This window comes from Homo sapiens, chromosome 2 (genome assembly GCF_000001405.40).
Source record: "Homo sapiens chromosome 2, GRCh38.p14 Primary Assembly".
Lineage (NCBI taxonomy): Eukaryota > Metazoa > Chordata > Mammalia > Primates > Hominidae > Homo > Homo sapiens.
Genome location: NC_000002.12, coordinates 207658999 through 207679178, shown reverse-complemented (window position 1 = coordinate 207679178; position 20180 = coordinate 207658999). Strand labels below are relative to the sequence as shown.

At 43.5% G+C, this 20180-nt stretch overlaps 1 long non-coding RNA gene across 2 annotated transcripts, besides 1 other annotated feature; it reads right to left on the bottom strand.

Moving 5' to 3' along the window:
* Window positions 1-56: 56 nt before the first annotated feature.
* On the bottom strand, window positions 57-16795 carry LINC01857 (long intergenic non-protein coding RNA 1857). 2 transcript variants are annotated; one of them, NR_135566.1, is made up of 4 exons: window positions 16657-16795; window positions 11615-11680; window positions 4106-4229; window positions 57-637 (listed from the first exon to the last, which is right to left on the bottom strand). It is a non-coding gene; the product is annotated as a long intergenic non-protein coding RNA 1857 (long non-coding RNA). The 2 variants fall into 2 exon arrangements; NR_135567.1 differs by lacking the exons at window positions 57-637; window positions 4106-4229; window positions 11615-11680 and adding an exon at window positions 12155-12498 and having other exon boundaries at window positions 16657-16749.
* Window positions 5150-5922: an enhancer, noted in NCBI's record as "OCT4-NANOG hESC enhancer chr2:208537981-208538753 (GRCh37/hg19 assembly coordinates)". NCBI's record gives its function as "activates a minimal SCP1, AML or CMV promoter by ChIP-STARR-seq in naive H9 embryonic stem cells {active_cell/tissue: H9 hESC(naive)}" and the evidence as "EXISTENCE:reporter gene assay evidence [ECO:0000049][PMID:30033119]".
* Window positions 16796-20180: the final 3385 nt, after the last annotated feature.

Sequence of the window (20180 nt, the reverse complement as noted above, 5' to 3'; positions counted from 1 at the left end):
TGCTGGCGTCTTGATCAAAGACTTCCCAGCCTCCAGAACCATGAAGAAACACATCGTTGTTGTTTGTTTGTTTGTTTATTTATTTTTTGAGACAGAGTTTCACTCTTGTTGGCCAGGCTAGAGTGCAATGGCACTATCTGGGCTCACCGCAACCTCCACCTTCTGGGTTCAAGCGATTCTCCTGCCTCAGCCTCCCCAGTAGCTGGGATTACAGGCATGCGCCTCCATGCCTGGCTAATTTCTGTATTTTTAGTAAAGACAGGTTTCACCATGTTGGCCAGGCTGGTCTCGAACTCCTGACCTCAAGGCCTGGTGCAGCGGCTCACACCTGTAACCCCAGCACTTTGGGAGGCCAGGCAGGCAGATCACCCAGTCAATGTTATAGCAGCCCAAACAGACTGAGACACTCCTGCAAAAGCATGCCAAGAGCAAAGGGCCTTTTCTTCTTTTAGGGTCAGGATCAGGGATGGCCTTTAGTAACCATTTTGCCTTGGACCTTTCCTGTCCAACTTCTCATGCTCTCTTGATTTGACACCCAGATGTATGGCCAGCAGACTCCTACAGGGCCACTAACAGCTCCTCTGCAAAGTGCTCTGATAGCACAAAGGTGTCAGTTCTTCCTCTCAGCCACCACTGCCTGTGGAGAGAGGGACAGAAGTAACAAGTGAGAAGACCCCTCATACCTTCTCTCACTCTACCTCATGATGATATTCTTCAAAATCTGTGGGCTCCTTTAGTTTTAGCATCACTAGTATATTATAATATGGTATGTTATAATACAGCACAATATAGTATAGTGTAGTGTAGCATAGTATGATATAGTATATTCACCAATCTATTTTTTGTTCTTTTTTTTTTTTGAGAAGGAGTCTCGCTCTGTTGCCAGGCTGGAGTGCAGTGGCATAATCCTGGCTTACTGCAGCCTCCGCCTCCTGGGTTCAAGTGATTCTCCTGCCTCAGCCTCCTGAATAGCTGAGATTACAGGCACATGCCACCACACCTGGCTAATTTTTGTATTTTTAGTAGAGACGGGGTTTCACCATATTGGCCAGGATGGTCTCGATCTCTAGACCTTGTGATCCACCCGCCTTGGCCTCCTAAAGTGCTGGGATTACAGGTGTGAGCCACCACGCCCGGCCTTTTTTTCTTCATTTTTTTTAGGTTTCTGGAGGGATCCAGCTTCTATTACTCTTTCGTCCCGTAAGCTGGATACCACTATTTTATGTGTAATTCTATTTTTATTTATTTATTTATTTATTTTGAGATGGCGTCTTGCTCTGTCGCTCAGGCTGGAGTGCAGTGATGCGATCTCAGCTCACTGCAACCTCCGCCTGCCAGGTTCAAGCGATTCTCCTGCCTCAGCCTCCCAAGTAGCTGGGACTACAGGCACCTGCCACCACACCCAGCTAATTTTTGTATTTTTAATAAAGACAGGGTTTCACCATGTTGACCGGGCTGGTCTGGAATTCCTGACCTCATGATCCGCTCGCCTCGGCCTCCCAGAGTGCTGGGATTACAGGCATGAGCCACCATGTCTGGCCTTGTGATTAGATTTTTCTAGCTAATGATAATCACTTTCTGAAAATAAGTGCTTTTAGTTTTATCTTAATACTTTGAAAAAATATCTTTACCAGAACTTTTCCCTCATCAGTGAATAGCGTTCATTGGACAGTTCTTCCTGGTCAAGGAAAAGGGAAAAGGAAACTTCTGGGTTACTTTTGGCCTTACGATTCTAACTACATATCCGTGAACACATCACAAAATGCTATTTGTTGTCTCACATATTTGACAGATTAGTTGAAATGCTTTTTTATAATTCAGCAAACATTTAACATGGGAACACTGTGCTAGGCTTTTGTGAAATATATAGATGAATGAGAAAGTCTTGGCCATCCGTGGATGATAAGACAGGAACACAGATAACTTCACAAGAACTATTTCAGGCATCCCTTCTGACTCACCACTGGCAATAGATTGGGCCTTAGACCAAGAAAAACGAAACCCAAGATTAAAAAAAAAAAGTCCTTTCAATGTACTGGGCAATCAACCAAAACTACAGACTTTTCAGGTTTTAGATAACATTACAAAGAATCTTTCTTGATTATACATTTGCTCTTGTAGCAATGTAAAACGTTTTCTGTGATTATAGTTAAAGTGCTGGTTATGTGACTGTTTTACCGTTGGGGATAGATATGGATTTTTACTTGTGTTTAATTGCGGAGAGTGAATACATAACTCCTCTCCTCCCCAGCCCCTGCCTACCTTCAGGGGGGCCAGGGGGAATCAGGAAGGAACTAAAATACAAGGCTTTTCCTCCCATTTTACATTCAAACTTGTCTCACAGGAAATGAACAAAATAGTGATTCTCAAATGTAACATTGTGCTTCTCTGTGCTGTGGTACAAAAAGAGCTTTACAGGAATTTTTTTAAGGACAAATATGGAACTTGGATTTTCTTTTCTTCTCTTTTCTTTTCTCTTTTCTTTTTTTTTTTTTTTTTTTTTTTTTTGAGACAGAATCTTACTCTGTCCCTGAGGCTGGAGTGTTGTGGAGCGATCTCGGCTCACTGCAACCTCCGACTCCAGGGTTCATGCAATTCTCCTGTCTCAGCCTTCCAAGTAGCTGGGGTTACAGGCGCCTGCCACCACACCTGGCTAATTTTTGTATTTTTAGTAGAGATAGGGTTTCGCCATATTGGCCAGGCTGGTCTTGAACTCCTGACCTCATGTGATCCACCCACCTCGGCCTCCCAAAGTGTTGGGATTACAGGTGCGAGCCACCGCACCCGGCTAAGAACTTGAATTTTCATTTCCTGAAGAATAAATGCCAAACTCCTTTACATTCAATATCTGCAAAATCTCATCCCGAATCATTTCCAGCTTTATCTATATATCCACCCTTACTCCATGTACCCAGCAACATCCTGTGAAGCATGTGGAATATTTTTATTTCCATATCTGGATTCCATCCCCCCCTTTAAAATACCCTTTTTCTTTTCTTTCTTCACAATCCTACTGCTAAAATCCTCCTCTTTCAAGGCACATCTTCAAAGAGGAGGCATCCATAAAGCATCCCACTCACCATTCTCTAAACTAGTATTTCTCCTTTCCTGAATTTTAATAATTTTCTATAATTAAGAGTTATTGTGGCTGGAGCAGTAGCTCATGCCTGTAATCTAACACTTTGGGAGGCTGAGGTGGGTACATCACATGAGATCAGGAGTTTGAGACCAGCCTGGCCAACATGGTGAAACACTGTCTCTACTAAAAATACAAAAATTAGCCAGGCGTGGTGATGTGCACTTGTAGTCCCAGCTACTCGGGAGGCTGAGGCAGGAGAACTGCTTGAGCCTGGAAGGCAGAGGTTGCATTGACCTGAGATCGGCCACTGTTCTCCAATCTGGGCAACAGAGTGAAACTCCATCTCAAAAAAAAAAAAAAAGAAAAAAAAAAAAAAAAGTTATTGCTTTTGTAATCAGAAATAAAAACTAAATGGTTTGCCTTTGCTTTATTGGTAAATTTAAAAAAGAAATAAAAACTAAAATGTATAAAATAGCTTGTCAAATAAAAAATGAACATAACTTTTTTTTTTTTTTGAAGCCGATTCGATCTTTGCTCACTGCAACCTCCGCCTCCCAGGGTCAAGTGATTCTCCTACTTCAGCCCAGTAGCTGGGGTTATAGGCACGTGCCGCCATGCCCAGCTAATTTTTGTAGTTTTAGTAGAGACAGGTTTCGCCATATTGGCCAGGCTGGTCTTGAACTCCTGACCTCAGGTGATCCACCGGCCTCGGCCTCCCAAAGTGCTGGGATTACAGGTGTGAGCCACTGCGCCCAGCCTAAACTTTTGCACCTTGAATATAAGCAGAAGGACACAATTGATATCTGCCTAAGAGGTGTGTCAGCCTCATTCTTTGGTCAATTTCTCCCCCTCTCCCACCTTCAGCCCCTACCCTCATTCCAAACATGTAGCAATAAAAAGTTTATAAAAAAGGGGAAATAAAAATGATGTAGTTAGTTCAGAATGCAAAAACGTACATACCTCTGTGGCACAGAAACAAACAAAAATTACACAGTGAAGAGAGCTGAATTGCAGCTGTATACCTACTTGCCTTCTGTTCTTATGTCCAGGGCTTTGGCTCCCACAGGGTAGTGAAGAGTAACAGTAGACAACATCACGCAGAGGCTTTGAGGATGGGGACTAGCAATGGGGCTCCCTCTTGTGATGGAGCCTGAAAAAAAGTTGGATACCCCATGGCTTAAAGGTATGGAAGCAGAAGATGGGAAAGGAATTCAAGGACAGAGCCTGATGTAATGAAGGAATCAAAAGAAAAAAATACAACACTTTAATGGAAGATTTTTTAGAAGACAAATTAATGCATGTCATAGTCCTATAAATTTTTCTCAAATTGACATGTGGGTTTAATTTTTTGGTATTCCTGGCTTATTTTGATATTGTAAATGTTGTGACAATTGTGATATTGTGATATTTACAATATCAAACTAAGGCAGGAATACCAAGAAAAAATGCTGTGTTTCTGCTCTGAACTGAGGTCCCAGGCTGCCATGTGGAGGTAAAGGCAATACTGTCAGGTAGGAAAAAGTGAGCATGGAGGGAACAGGAAACAGAAAATAAAAGACTACAGCTCTTTCTGCTCAGAATAGCCTCCTGCAAAGTAAAATTCAAAACCACATTAAAATATTTTACATAAGAAAGAATATGAATTCCACCTCCCCAGTTAAGAGTATGAATTCACTCTAGTTAAAATTAGGCCTGGCATGGTGGCTCTTCTCTGTAATCTCAGCATTTTGAGAGGTCAAGGGTTTGAGACCAGCCTCAGCAACACAGCATGACCTTGACCTTAACCTAAAAATAAAAAAATTAGCCATGCACAGTGGCTCACTTCTGCAGTTCCAGCTACTCAGGAGGCTGAGGCGGGAGGATGCCTTGAGCCCGGGAGATTGAGGCTGCAGTGAGCCATGATTATGCCATCGCACTCCAGCCTGGGCTGCAAAGCCAGACTGTCTCAAATAAATAAATAAATAAAATAATAATTATAATAATTTTGTGGAACTGCTTGATAAGGAATTGAAAATAAATGTGCTTAGGATACTTAAAGAGATAGAGATATTTCCTCCATTAAAAAAGAACAAGCAAATAGGAAGCAAAAAAAAATCTATTATGCAACAAGAAATAGGTAGATCTGAAAGAGAAACAAGTAGAAATTTAAAAATAGACATTAAAATTAAAAAATCAATTGAAAAAATGAACTCTAGGCTGGATACCTTTGAAAAGGGGATTACTGAATTGGAGGGGAGGACTTCACACAATCATGGTCAAAGACAAGAATAACATGAGAGAACCATGAAGGAGTATTGACGTTAGACTGTGAGGATTCCAGGAGAAAATGAAGGGAAAGTTAATTTTTACAAAAGCGTGTTACATACCAAAAGGATAAAGAAGCCAAATCATTACAGAACAATTTTAAAACATCAAGAACAACAAGAAAATCTTAAGGGCTATCAGAGATAAAAGACAGATTAGGAGCAAAGGAATGACAATTAGGAATGACAATTAGTCAACTGTCTTCTCAATTGAGAGATTAAATGCCACAAAGAAGCCAGTGAAGTAGTATCTTCAAGGTGCTGAGGGAAAACAGTATCTACACTGCTGAACTACTGCAATGTGGGTGCAAAATAAAACCATTTTTCATTCTTTTCCACAAAAATATATCTAACAAGCTTGTTATGTGAAATCAAACAATATTTTTGGCATTTTGTCAATAATTCAAACTCTTACCAATAATTCAAACTCACTGATACCTAACTAGGAGTGCTTTGTATTTTGGAAGATTCCCTAAACTAAAAATATATTCAAGGCTGGCCACGGTGGCTCACGCCTGTAATCCCAGCACTTTGGGAGGCCGAGGAGGGCAGATCACAAGGTCAGGATTTCAAGACCAGCCTGGCCAATATGGTGAAACCCTGACTGTACTAAAAATACAAAAAATTAGCCGGGCATGGTGGCGCCTGTAGTCCCAGCTACTCGGGAGGCTGAGGCAGGAGAATCGCTTGAACCTGGGAGGTGGAGGTTACAGTGAGCTGAGATCGTGCCACTGCCCTCCAGCCTGGGTGACAGAACGAGACTCCGTCTCAAAAAAAAAAAAAAAAAAAATATATATATATATATATATATATATATATATATTTACAACATATGTAAATATAACTGAAGAACTACTTCAAATAATATTGAAATTCACAGAATTCTAAAGATTTATAGCCTAGAAGTATCATAACTTTGTCTGCAGTTGGCCGGGTGCAGTGGCTCACGCCTGTAATCCCAACACTCTGGGAGGCCGAGGTGGATGCATCATGAGGTCAGGAGTTCAAGACCAGCCTGGCCAATATGGTGAAACCCCATCTCTACTAAAAATACAAAAATTAGCCGGGTATGGTGGCGGACGCCTGTAATCCCAGCTACTTGGGAGGCTGAGGCAGAGAATTGCTTGAACCCAGGAGGCAGAGGTTGCAGTGAGCCGAGATCACACCACTGCACTCCAACCTGGGTGACAGAGTGAGACTCCGTCTCAAAAAAAAAAAAAAAAAAGGGTCTGCAGTCAAACATACTGTGCTAATTATGAAAAAATGTCTTAACAACTATTAAACCAAAAGGAGAATAAAATTGAGGGGAAATATATGGTTTTAAAGTCCTATGACAAACGGAAGATTAGTAATTGCGGTTTTTCCCATTAAAAGTAATGGCAAAAACCACATTTACTTTTGCACCAACCTAATAAAAAGTAATAATATAGGCCGAGCGCGGTGGCTCACACTTGTAATCCCAGCACTTTGGGAGGCCGAGGCAGGTGGATCACGAAGTCAGGAGATCGAGACCATCCTGGCTAACACGGTGAAACCCTATCTCTACTAAAAATACAAAAAAAATTAGCTGGGCATGGTGGCAGGCCCCTGTAGTCCCAGCTACTCAGGAGGCTGAGGCAGGAGAATGGCATGAACCCGGGAGGCGGAGCTTGCAGTGAGTGAGACTGCACCACTGCACTTCAGCCTGGGCGACACAGGGAGACTCCGTCTCAAAAAAAAAAAAAAAAAAGCAATAATATAAAATCGATTTAATGACCAAAATTTCTTATTGAATCCCTGATTGTCATTTTTGGCAACTTAACCCCATCTGTCAGAAGCTAGTGTGCTATGCTGTCAGAAATTCTCCACTCTCTCATCAGAGCCATGCCAAATGCAGTAAGAACCCTGGCTGAAAGTTAGGAAGTTGATGTTAGCAACTTTGAGTGCTGCACACACCTTCCCCATAGAGGCTGAATCCTTATGCTTATGTGTATCCCTGAAAGATGTAAAGGCCTGTCCCCCTTTCATACCAAAAAATACCTTCTCAACATGCTGTAAAAGGGTTCCTTACTTTGGCGGAGGGAGACAACCACATACATCATATACAGAAATTTATCACAATAAGATTCCAAATCCTATTTTATATTTTAAACTACACTATGGTAATATTTAAACCATTCCATTCCAGGCAATATTCCACACTAGAACAGTAAATATCTTTAAAAAAAAAAAAAAAGGTCAGGCACGGTGGCTCATGCCTGTAACCCCAGCACTTTGGGAGGCTGAGGCAGGTGGATCACAAGGTCAGGAGTTCGAGACCAGCCTGGCCAACATGGTGAAACCCCGTCTCTACTAAAAATACAAAAATTAGCCGGGCATGGTGGCATGCACCTGTAATCTCAGCTACTCAGGAGGCTGAGGCAGAAGAATCGCTTGAACCCGGGAGGCTGAGGTTGCAGTGAGCCAAGATTGCGACACTGCACTCCATCCTCGGTGACACAGTGAGACTCCATCTCAGGAAAAAGAAAAAAAAAATACTGCATATAGTCTCTGTCTCTGTCTCTCTTTCTCTCTCTGAAGGCTGGGGCTGATGGTCACCAAGGACGGCAGCACTGGTGTGAACAAAGAGGCTGCTTAAAGTCAGTGCCCATTCTGATGGGTCAGTGCCCTGTTCTGGCTTGTGAGTGCCTGTCTCTCCACGGCTCCCCCTCACCACAATCCTCCCATCCTTCTTCAACCGCTCCCCGCCCCCGCAGGAAGAGAGCCTGCTGATTGGTCAGCTCAGTTTGATTCCAGGGCCCTGGCTGTTACATATTTTGAAAAATACCTTGTATTGTAGCAGGTCTTCTTGAAAGTGGCAAGAAGAAAAGTGACTCAGATACATTTGTACACGGAAAACAGATTTTAGCACACAAATTGACAAATTATGTTAGAAAATTTATTTAACAATTGTGAAAAACAGTTATGGGGTGAGGGTGCTTAAAAGAATGTTAAACCTCCAGAGAACACTATTATGATGGGGTGGGAGGTAAAGTTATACAATAAATTATTCAAGCATACTTTAATACGTCACAATGTGTTTAAGAAAAGAAAAAACAGTAAAAACTTTCGATTTTGTTAGAAAAAAGTATTTTATGGCCGGGCACGGTGGCTCAGGCCTGTAATCCCAGCATTTTGGAAGGCCAAGGTGGGTGGATCACCTGAGGTCAGGAGTTTGAGACCAGCCTGGCCAACATGGTGAAACCCTGTCTCTGTTAGAATATAAAAATTAGCCGGGGGTGATGGTGCGCCCCTGTAATCCCAGCTATTCCAGAGGTTGAGGCATGATAATTGCTTGAACCCAGGTGGCTGAGGTTGCAGTGGGCTGAGATCATGCCACTGCACTCCAGCCTGGGTGACAGAGAGAGACCCTGTCTCCAAAAAAAAAAAAAAAAAGAGAAAAAAGTATTTATTAAATAATATACGTGTAAAAAAATTTAAAGTCTATTGTAAAAGAATTGAATTGTATCGCCTCCAATAAGAAAAAGAAAGAAAATATAGGAAAATTTATCAAACCAATCAGTTAGTCCAGGTAAACGAGATAGGTTGTGTTAAGGTAATGGTGGAGAAGAAAAAAGGAAAGCAAAAGATAATAAACAGAAAGCTTCTACTGAAAGAGCTTTTAAAAATACCCATGCTCTTTGGAACACTTGTGCAGTTCGTGGGAATGTAAAATGATGCAGCTGCTATGGAAAACAGAATGGAAGTTCCTCAAAAAATTAAAAATATACTTAACATATGATCCAGCAATTCTACTTCTAGCTACATATCCAAAAGAATTGAAAGCAGGATTTCAAAGAGATATAGTATTTGCACACCCGTGTTCACAGCGGCGTTATTCACAATAGCCAAGATGTGGAAACAACCTAAATGCCCATCGATAGATGAATGGATAAAGAAAATGTGTTATGTACATACCAAGAAATATTATTCAGCCTTAAAAAGGAAAGATATATAGTATTTGCACACCCATGTTCACCCCGGCATTATTCACAATAGCCAAGATGTGGAAACAATCTAAATGCCCATCGATAGATGAATCGATAAAGAAAATGTGTTATGGGCCGGCGTGGTGGCTCAGGCCTGTAATCCCAGCCGAGGTTGGTGGATCACGAGGTCAGGAGTTGGAGACCATCCTGGCTAACACGGTGAAACTCCGTCTCTACTAAAAATACAAAAAAATAGCCGGGCATGGTGGCGAGCGCCTGTAGTCCCAGCTACTTGGGAGGCTGAGGCAGGAGAATGGCAAGAACCCAGGAGGCGGAGCTTGCAGTGAGCCGAGATCACGCCACTGCACTCCAGCCTGGGCGACACAGCAAGACTCCATCTCAAAAAAAAAAAGAAAAAAGAAAATGTGTTATGTACGTACCATGAAATATTATTCAGCCTTAAAAAGGAAGGAAATGCTGACACATGCTACAACATAGATGAGCCTTGAGGACATTATGCTATGTGACATAAGCCACAAAAGACAAATACTGTATGATTTCACTTATATGAGGCATCTAAAGTAGTCAAACTCATAGAAACAAAAAGTAGAATGGTGGTTGCCAGCACCTGATGAGAAGGGGAAGTGGGGAGTTGTTTAATGGGTGTAGATGGCCGGGCGCAGTGGCTTATGCCTGTAATCTCAGCACTTTGGGAGGCCGAGGCGGGTAGATCACGAGGTCAGGTGTTTGAGACCAGCCTGGCCAATATGGTGAAACCCCATCTCTACTAAAAATACAAAAATTAGCCGGGCATGGTGGTGAGCGCCTTACTCTCAGCTACTTGGGAGGTTGAGGCAGGAGAATCGCTTGAACCCAGGAGGTGGAGGTTGCAGTGAGCCAAGATCATGCCACTGCACTCCAGCCTGGGCAACAGAGCAAGACTCTGTCTCAAAAAAAAAAAAAAAAAAAGGTGTAGGGATTCAGCTTTGCAAGATGAAAAGCTTCTGGAAATCTGTTGCATCACAATGTAAATTTACTTAACACTACTAAACTGTACACTTAAAAATGATTAAGATGGCAAATTTTACGTTGTGCGTTTTTTTGTTGTTGCTGTTGTTTGTTCTACCACAATTAAAAAAAATACCCATTCTTAGGATCCAAGTAATTTCTTTTTTTTTTTCTTGAGATGCAGTCTTGCTCTGTTGCCTAGGATGGAGTACAGTGGCACGATCTTGGCTCACTGCAACCTCTACCTCTTGGGTTCAAGGGATTCTCCTGCCTCAGCCTCCCAAGTAGCTGGGACTACAGGCATGTGCCACCAGGCCTGGCTAATTTTTGTATTTTCAGTACAGACAGGTTTCACCGTGTTGGACAGGCTGGTCTCGAACGCCTGACCTCATGATGTGCCCGCCTCAGCCTCCCAAAGTGCTGGGATTACAGGCATGAGCCGCCGTGCCTGGCTGATCCAAGCAATTTCAATTTAATGTCTCTAAGGGAGCAGGGAGCAAATTCCCTTTGTTCTCTGCCTGGGTATTTCTGGATCTTTTTTAAAGCTTCCCAGATAATTTTTTATATACAGCCAAGGTGAAAGTAATTGAAGTCTGCATTTCCTTTAAGAAACTTACCTAAGGCCGGGCGCGGTGGCTTATGCCTATAATCCCAGCAGTTTGGGAGGCCGAGGCGGGTGAATCACCTGAGGTCAGGAGTTTGAGACCAGCCTCAACATGGAGAAACCCCGTCTCTACTAAAAATACAAAATTAGCCGGGCATGATGGTGCATGCCTGTAATCCCAGCTCCTCAGGAGGCTGAGGCAGGAGAATTGCTTGAACCCAGGAGGCAGAGGTTGCGGTGAGCCGAGATCATGCCATTGCACCCCAGCCTGGGCAACAGAGTGAAACTCCGTCTCAAAAAAAAAAAAAAAGGAACTTACCTAAGGCCGGGCGCAGTGGCTCACGCCTGTAATCCCAACACTTTGGGAGGCTGTGCGGGCGGATCACCTGAGGCCAAGAGTTCGAGACCAACCTGGCCAACATGGTGAAAACCCTTCTCTACTAAAAATACAAAAATTAGCAAGCTGTAATGGTGCACTTCTGTAATCCCAGCTACTCAGGAGGCTGAGGCAGAAGAATCGCTTGAACCTGGGAGGCAGAGGTTGCAGTGGCCTGAGATAGTGCCATTGCACTCCAGCCTGGGCAACAAAGTGAGACTCCGTCTCCAAAAAAAAAAAAAAAAAAAAAATTCATACAGGCCCAGGCGTTGAGGGAAGCTCAGCTTCTTCACTCACTGTATGTGACAGCTGGGGCCTCACTTCTCAACTTGCAATGGACAAAGCGCAGTGGAGCTTCTTAACCTGGATGGCAGAAGAGAGAAGAGAGATGGATTTGCAGATGCATTCATGTGGAGACAGCTATCTTTAAACTTATATTGTGCCATTATAAATGAGAACAACAACAGCCTTCCGTGGGTTAGAATGGGGAAGTTGAATAATTTCAATAATTTAAAACAAAGCAGTAAGTCAAAGTCAAAGACTCCTAAAAGGATTTTAATTACTGCAAGAGTATAGAGTCCCTTCAAACAGGCTCCCTTTCTAAAAACACAGCAATCCTAGCTCTGGGGAATAAATGTAGTACTGACTGAAACCACAAATGATGACTGAGAGTGAAAAAAAGAGCTATGTAATTTAAATAAGCATTTTCTTTTAAAAGTATCTATTTTTTTAAAAGAAAGAAAAAATATTTCAAAATATGTTTGTTGGCCTATCCTCAATCTACAGACACATTCATAGACATTTCTCTCAAGGTTCTCCCCGAAGAAAGACACCATCTCCCAGACAAGAAGAAATTATATTTTGCAAGGTTTTGAATGAGAACACGCCTCCAAATCAAACATGTGTGTTGTCTTAATGATTAAAATAGTCTCTTGTTTTACAAAGGCAGATTTGATCTTTCTATCAAATAAAGCATGTTTTGATGATTAAAATGTTTGTAAACACAGCAGTAGTCAGAAAGAACACTTTCATTTGTTGAATCCATTTTTCCTCTATCTCTTCTTTCCTTTCTTCCTTGAGTTGCCCATAAGGGCCAGGCAGGTGGTGCAAAATAGCGGAAACTGTTAGATGCAAGAGTAGGGATGCTGGGGTGGTGATGAACTGGAGAGTGCGGGCTCCATCTGCAACGAGAAGCCACTGGTCAGCAAGAGCCAATGGGTGCCTTGCAGGAATGCTGGCCCAGTGCTAAGAGATTATCCTGTTACTCAAATAAGCCAGAATTCTTCATATTCATATGAAACCTCTCAGGTTCCAAATGGTTGCAATCCATTTAAACATTTGTTTAAACCAGGCAAGCCAACAGTGAGTGACCAGATTGCAGTCTTTGACTTAACCTGTTTAAGCTCAACTTTCTCATCTAGATCAAGGGGCTACAATACAGAAAATACTTTTTAAAAAATAATAAAAGCTGAACTCGTTGAGTCCTTACTTTGTGCTAGACAGTGTTTCAAATACTTCATAAATATTAATTCATGGCCGGGTGTGGTGGCTCACGCCTGTAATCCCAGCACTTTGGGAGGCTGAGATCGAGACCATCCTGGCTAATACAGTGAAACCCCGTCTCTACTAAAAATACAAAAAATTAGCCTGGCGTGGTGGTGGGTGCCTGTAGTCCCAGCTACTTGGGAGGCTGAGGCACGAGAATGACGTGAACCCGGGAGGCAGAGCTTGCAGTGAGTGTCTCTCTGCCTGGATATTTCTGTATCTTTTTTAAAGCTTTCCAGATAATTTTTTATATACACACAGACACACATACATAAAGGCTGGGCTCAGTGGCTCAGGCCTGTAATCTTAGCACTCTGGGAGGCCAAGGTGGGCAGATTGCTTGAGCTCAGGAGTTTGAGACCAGCCTGGGCAACATGGTGAGACATTGTCTCTATAAAAAATACACACACACACACACACACGCACGCACACAAATTAGCTGGGCATGGTGGTGCGTCCCAGCTACTCGGGAGGCTGGGCAACAGAGTAAGACCCTGTTTCAAAAAAAAAAGAATCTAGTTTTGCCCAAAGTGAGAATCTGCACAGCAAGCAACACCCTTCCCCTCCCCCTCTTCACACCCAAAACTTATCCCCTATGTCCCTCATTTTATTGAAATAAATAATTCCTGGCAGCAGTGCTCTGCAGGCCTAGGCTAGGCTCTGTGTGGGGAATCAAGGACGAATCAGACATAGAATTGCCCTGCAGTAGTTCGCTGTTGTCAGGAGAAAAAGACAAGAAATAACAGTAGCAAGAGAGAGAAAGGGGAAAGTGTCATAAGGAACACAGCTAAAGTGTTGCAGAAATTTAGAGAAGAGAGATTACTTCCAGCTGCACCCTTAATCACATACTGCCTCACATCTCTTGTATTATTGTCTTGTCTGGTTATTAATTCCTGTATCATTAAACAACAGCAAACCAGTCACACTGAATAATTAATGGTGTTGCTTCTTCCTCCACATCCAGATCATCAGCTCCTCCAAGTCAGGATTGGAGACTCTGATAGGCACATTTCAGAGGCTAATATCTATAGGCCCCCTCTTTTTTTTTTTTTTTTTTTTTTTTTTAGATGGAGTCTCGCTCTGTCACCCAGGCTGGAATGCAGTGGTGCAATCTCGACTCACTGCAACCTCCACCTCCTGGGTTCAAGCAATTCTCCTGGCTCAGTCTCCTGAGTAGCTGGAATTATAGGCATGCACCATCTTGCCTGACTAATTTTTGTATTTTTAGTAGAGATGGGGTTTCACCATATTGGCCAGGCTTGTCTTGAACTCCTGACCTCAAGTGATCCACCTACCTCAGCCTCCCACAGTGCTGGGATTATAGGTGTGAGCCCCAGCGCCCAGCCTATCTATAGCCTTAAGAATACCTGCTTCAGCAGAAGAGACCACCAATAAAATGTTATGGGAATAAAGCCTGTAACAATATAGTCCTTTATTAGCTTACTAATATTTCTTCAATGCATTCAACAAAATAGGAAATTCAAAGTGATAAATAGAAGACTGCTTTTCGGCTGGCTGCGGTGGCTCACACCTGTAATCCTAGCACTTTGGGAGGCCGAGGCGAGCGGATCACCTGAGATCGGGAGGTCGAGACCAGCCTGACCAACATGAAGAAACCCTGTCTCTACTAAAAATGCAAAATTAGCCGGGTGTGGTGGCGCATGCCTGTAATCCCAGCTACTGGGGAGGCTGAGACAGGAGAATTGCTTGAACCTGGGAGGCAGAGGTTGCAGTGAGCCGAGATCGTGCCATTGCACTCCAGCCTGGGCAACGAGAGCAAAACTCCATCTCAAAAAAAAAAAAAAAAAAAAAAGACTGTTTTTCCCTATAGTCACCTTTTTTTTAATTCTAGTGGGAGAAAATGTCTTCTTATTGGTGTTTCCTGGTTCCAGTGATGGATATCTCAGTTGGGTTTGTTCCCTCCTCTTGGCTACACAGAAATGTCAAATAAAGGTGACTAACTGTAATAGTAAATACACCTTGGGTGTTTAGACTGTTTTTATATAGTAATCTGAGACTCTTCTGAGAGCTTTTGTGTGTGCACCACCAGAGTATTGCCTTTTGGCATCATTTCCAAGTCTTTCCGAAAAACATGCTATGTTTCCTTTTTTCGTTTCTGATTTTTAAATGACAGATGGTTAGGAAAGGTCTTCTTTACTCTTATAATTATTTTCCCCAGTTTTTCTCCATTAAACAGCAATTACTCTCATGCATAATCTTCTTAAGTAGTTACTTTCTAGCTCCTGAAGAGCATAATCACCATGAATGTATTCATCTTATGCACTTCCTGGTTTTTCTCAGCGTGAAACTTCTACTGAATATAATTTGTACCACAGTAACTAACATGGACACTTAAACATGTTTGGTAGTTAACTTTTTATAAGCAGACCAAATTTTTAGATGAAACATTCATCTGTTTTACAAAGGGTCGTTTTCCTGGAATCTATCCAAAAGTACCTTCAAAGGGAAATTAGAAATATGACCACCGTATTTTAAATATTTTCCAAGGGAGTGGTGGAGTGAGAAAAATCTTTTTCCTCTGGCTTAAATTATCTCACATTATACCATGCTAAGCAGTTTACAAAACATGCAAATTATCTGCTTTGCAGAGAAGTAAAACCCCTTGTAAATTTATTTTTTCATGCTAGCAATATCAAAAACAATTTAACTTACACTATGCCAAACAAATCTTATTCTTATTAATTAATTAATTAATTAATTTGAGATGGAGTTTTGCTCTGTTGCCCAGGTTGGGGTGCAGTGGCATGATCTCGGCTCACTGCAACCTCCGCCTCCTGGGTTCAAGTGATTCTCCTCCCTCAGCCTCCCAAGTAGCTGGGATTACAGGCATTGTCACCATGCCTGGCTAGTTTTCATATTTTTAATAGAGACAGGGTTTCACCATGTTGGCCAGGCTGGTCTCAAACTTCTAACCTCAGGTGATCCACCTACCTCGGCCTCCCAAAGTGCTGGAATTACAGGTGTGAGCCACAGCACCTGGCCCCCCAAAAACTTGAGATTTAACAGTTAAACATATAAATCAAGTCATAACAAAGTAGTGAAAACAGAAACAAGCAGTTATGATATCTTCAGAAGAATTATAACTTATCTAAAAGCTTGGAAACAGTAAATGAAATATCAAAAGACAAAAACAAGAGATTTGATAATTTGTGAATTGTAATATTAAAGGCGATTTTGGCAGGCCATATTATTTTACCAGAAGCCACTCATGATGAATTTAGAAGAAATTTTATTCTTGGCATTTGGCATTCAGTGATGTCTACATTTTACAAATAATCTCAAAAGCGAATGAGACACAAAATTTTTTGCTTTTGTTGTTGAGTGTCAAAGTTTGAATTCTGTGGAAGGCATAGTATCCCTTAGTCTCTCAATAAAAAGTAGGCCGAGTGCAATGGCTCACACCTGCAATCCCGGCACACTGGGAGGCTGAGATGGATAGATCACCTGAGGTCAGGAGTTCAAGACCAGCCTGGCCAACATGGTGAAACCCCACCTCTACTAAAAATACAAAAATTAGCCGGGCATGGTGGTGCACATCTGTAATCTCAGATACTTGGGAGGCTGAGGCAGGAGAATCGCTTGAACCTGGGAGGTGGAGGTTGCAGTGAGCCAAGATCACCCCACTGTACTCTACCCTGGGTGACATAGTGAGACTCTGTCTCAAAAAAAAAGTATCCTATCTGACCCCCCATCTTAGTCTGTTTCTGCTGCTATAACAAAATACCACAGACTGAGCAATTTATTTTTAAAAACCCCAGAAATCTATTTCTTACAGTTCCGAAGGCTGGGAAGTCCAAGATGAAGGCACCAGCAGGTTTGTTGCCTGGTGAGGGCCCAGTGTTTGCTTTCATGAACACTGCATCCTCAGGAGGGAGGAACACTGTGACCTCACATGGCAGAGGGCAGAAAGGGAAAAGGGCTGAACACAGTTGGTTAAGATTTTTTGTAAGTCAGTCAAGCCTAATGCCACTCACGAGGGCTCCACTCTCATGACTTAATCACCTCTGGAAAGCCCCACTTCTTCTTTTTTTTTTTTTTTTTTTTTTGAGATGGAGTTTCACTCTTGTCACCCAGGCTGGAGTGCAGTGACACCATCTTGGCTCACTGCAACCTCTGCCTCCCAGGTTCAAGCGATTCTCCTGCCTCAGCCTCCCGAGTAGCCAGGACTACAGGTGCATGACACCATGCCCAGGTAATTTTTGTATTTTAGTAGAGATGGGGTTTCACCATGTTGGCCAGGATGGTCTCCATCTCCTGACCTTGTGATCTGCCGGCCTCGGCCTCCCAAAGTGCTGGGATTATCGGCATGAGCCACTCTGCCCAGCCAGCCCCACTTCTTAACACTGTGACATTGGTGATTATGTTTCAAAACATGAGATTTAGAGGGAACACAAACCTTCAAACCATAGTAGACTTCCAGTATCTGAATTTCAGTCACTCTCCAGAAGTCACACGTTAGTGTGTTTGGACAAAAAAAGCATTTATTACTATGTTTTTTCTCAAATATGGAGACTAAAAAAGGTCTCACTTAGGCCTGGCGCGGTGGCTCATGCCTGTAATCATCCCAGCACTTTGGGAGGCTGACGCAGGAGAATCACTTGAACCCGGGAGGCGGAGGTTGCAGTGAGCCGAGATCGTCCCACTGCACTCCATACTGGGTGACAGAGCGAAGCTCTGTCTCAAAAAAAAAAAAAGGTCTCACCTAGAATGCGTTTCTGGAGAATAGTATTATTGCTGGAAAATTTCATAGAATGGAGATAAAAGAAAGATAAATAGGAAGTTAGTGAATTTCTGGAGCTAGTCTCCAGATCAGAACTCTCTCTAATTGGTTTAGGAGAATTGCAACTTTGAATACAAATGGCAATATTCAAGAGAAATAAAAGAAAGAAAGAAAGAAAGAGGCAGAAGACCCTTTCCCAGAGTCACACACAACAATGGGAAACAAGCTAGTGACCATATGATCTCTCCAGGCAGTATCAGCAACAAACTAAGCTAAACAATGCCCAGAGTTACTCAGCCAGGCAATGTCCACGGCTACACACCTCAGGAATGGCGACAGCAGCTCCCAGCCACCCCTGCATTCCTGCGTGCTGTCGCTTCTCCTTCCTGCTTCTCCCTGAGCCTGACCCACCTCATCACCCCATGCTGGATGCCTGGCCCTGCAGCTGGCCTCCTAGGCTCCAGTCTGTCCCACCGCCAAACTGTGAAGCACCTTCCTCTGAGTTTGCTCCGTAAAATACAGGTGTGTTTGTGTCCCTCCGAACTTTAAACTACTTCAGGGAATGGCCCATTGCCTTCACCAGACTGTTTCTACTTTGTAACTGTGATTCACGCTCCTCGGGATATGGTCTTAAACCCCCTTTCGTCACACCCTTCTCTCTGGTGAGAGGAGTTCCCCAAGGTTCCGTCATGGAGGAGCCGGACTATTCACATCTCCACTGGGAGTTCCTGATGGGGTGTTCCCCTCCCCACCTCAAGCACATCTTGATCCCTAGGGCAAAATCCACTTCCGTTAGAAAGAAAAATGACATTGAGGGGATCGCCTTTGGGAAGCCGTCTCTCACCATGTCCCATAGCCCACCAGCCCCCTCCAACAGATCTGAGTCCTCCTTCCTGTGGACCTCACTGGTGTGCAGGGCTGATCATGTGGGCAGGCTTGTGATATTTATTTATTTATTTAATTTATTTATTTTTGAGATGGAGTTTCACTCTTGTTGCCCAGGCTGGAGTGCAATGTCGCGATCTCGGCTTACTGCAACCTCCGCCTCTGGGGTTCAAGCGATTCTCCTGGCTCAGCCTTTCGAGTAGCTGGGATTACAGGCACCCACCATCATGCCCAACTAATTTTTTTTAATATTTTTAGTAGAGATGGGGTTTCACCATGTTGTCCAGGCTGGTCTTGAACACCTGACCTCGTGATCCACCCGCCTTGGCCTCCCAAAGTGCTGGGATTACAGGAGTGAGCCACCATGCCCGGTGTGATTTTTATTTATTATCTGCCTCCCCTAGAAGACCAGAGATCCTTAAAAGCAGAGCCAATATCTTTTTTTGAGACAGGGTCTCACTCTGTTACTTGCTTAGGCTGCAGTACAGTGAGGCTCACTGCAGCCTCGACCTCCTAGGCTCAGGTGATCCTCCCACCTCAGCTACCTAAGTAGCTGGGACCACAGGTGTCCACCACCACACCCAGCTAATTACTTTGATTTTTTTTTAGTAGCGAGGAGTTCTCGATATGTTGCCCAGGTTTGTCTTGAACTCCTCAGCTCAAGCGATCCTCCTGCCTCAGCTTCCCAAAGTGCTGGGATTACAGATACGCGCCACTGTGCCCGGCCCAGAGCCAATATCGTATTCAGTTTTCAAACTCTGTTACCCAGCACGGGGACTGCCAGGTAATCTGCATCGTTGATGTCTTCTGAAGGAAGGGAGGGGAGGATGAAGAAAGTTTGGTGGGTGGGTGGACAAGCAGGCGCGAAGGAAGACACAGGACCAAGCTTCTCCTCCACCCCTGCCCCGGCTGACCCTGCTGCCTTGTTCTCTGTGCTCGGGATCAGAGGACTTGCCCTGGCTGCTCTGGCTGCTGCACGCACATCTCTCCGGAACCCCGTCTCAACATCCCAAAGCTAAATATCACTTAGTCCTCACAAATGGGACCCTTCCACTTCCAGATGTGGGGGGCCAAAAGGGGAGCTTAGATCCAGGGATTGCAAACTGATGGTTCAGTGCAATCTGACAGATCAAGCCTTGGATTATTGAGGAGAAAACTATCATGTATGAAGCATCTACTCCATGCAAGCCAACACACAAGGCCTGCAGACTGATTACATTTCAGTTCCTTTTCAGTCTTTTGAGAGAGGTGTTATTATCCCCACTGCTCAAATGAGGAAAGTGAGACACAGCCAGGATTCCAGCTGTTTCCTTAATGCCAAGGCCATTCTCTGATTACCACACCTTGACACCTCAAGGTTGGAGTCTTCTGAGACTTACAATAGAATGCTCCTTTTTTTTTTTGAGACGGAGTTTTGTTCTCATTGCCCAGCCTGGAGTACAGTGGTGTGATCTCAGCTCACTGCAACCTCTGCCTCCTGGGTTCAAGCGATTCTCCTGCCTCAGCCTCCCAAGTAGCTGGGATTACAGGCATGCACCACCATGCCTGGCTAATTCTGTATTTTTAGTAGAGACAGGATTTCACCATGTTGGTCAGGCTAGTTTCGAACTCCTGACCTCAAGTGATCCACCTGCCTCAGCCTCCCAAAGGGCTGGCATTACAGGTGTGAGCCACCGTGCCCAGCCTGGTCCA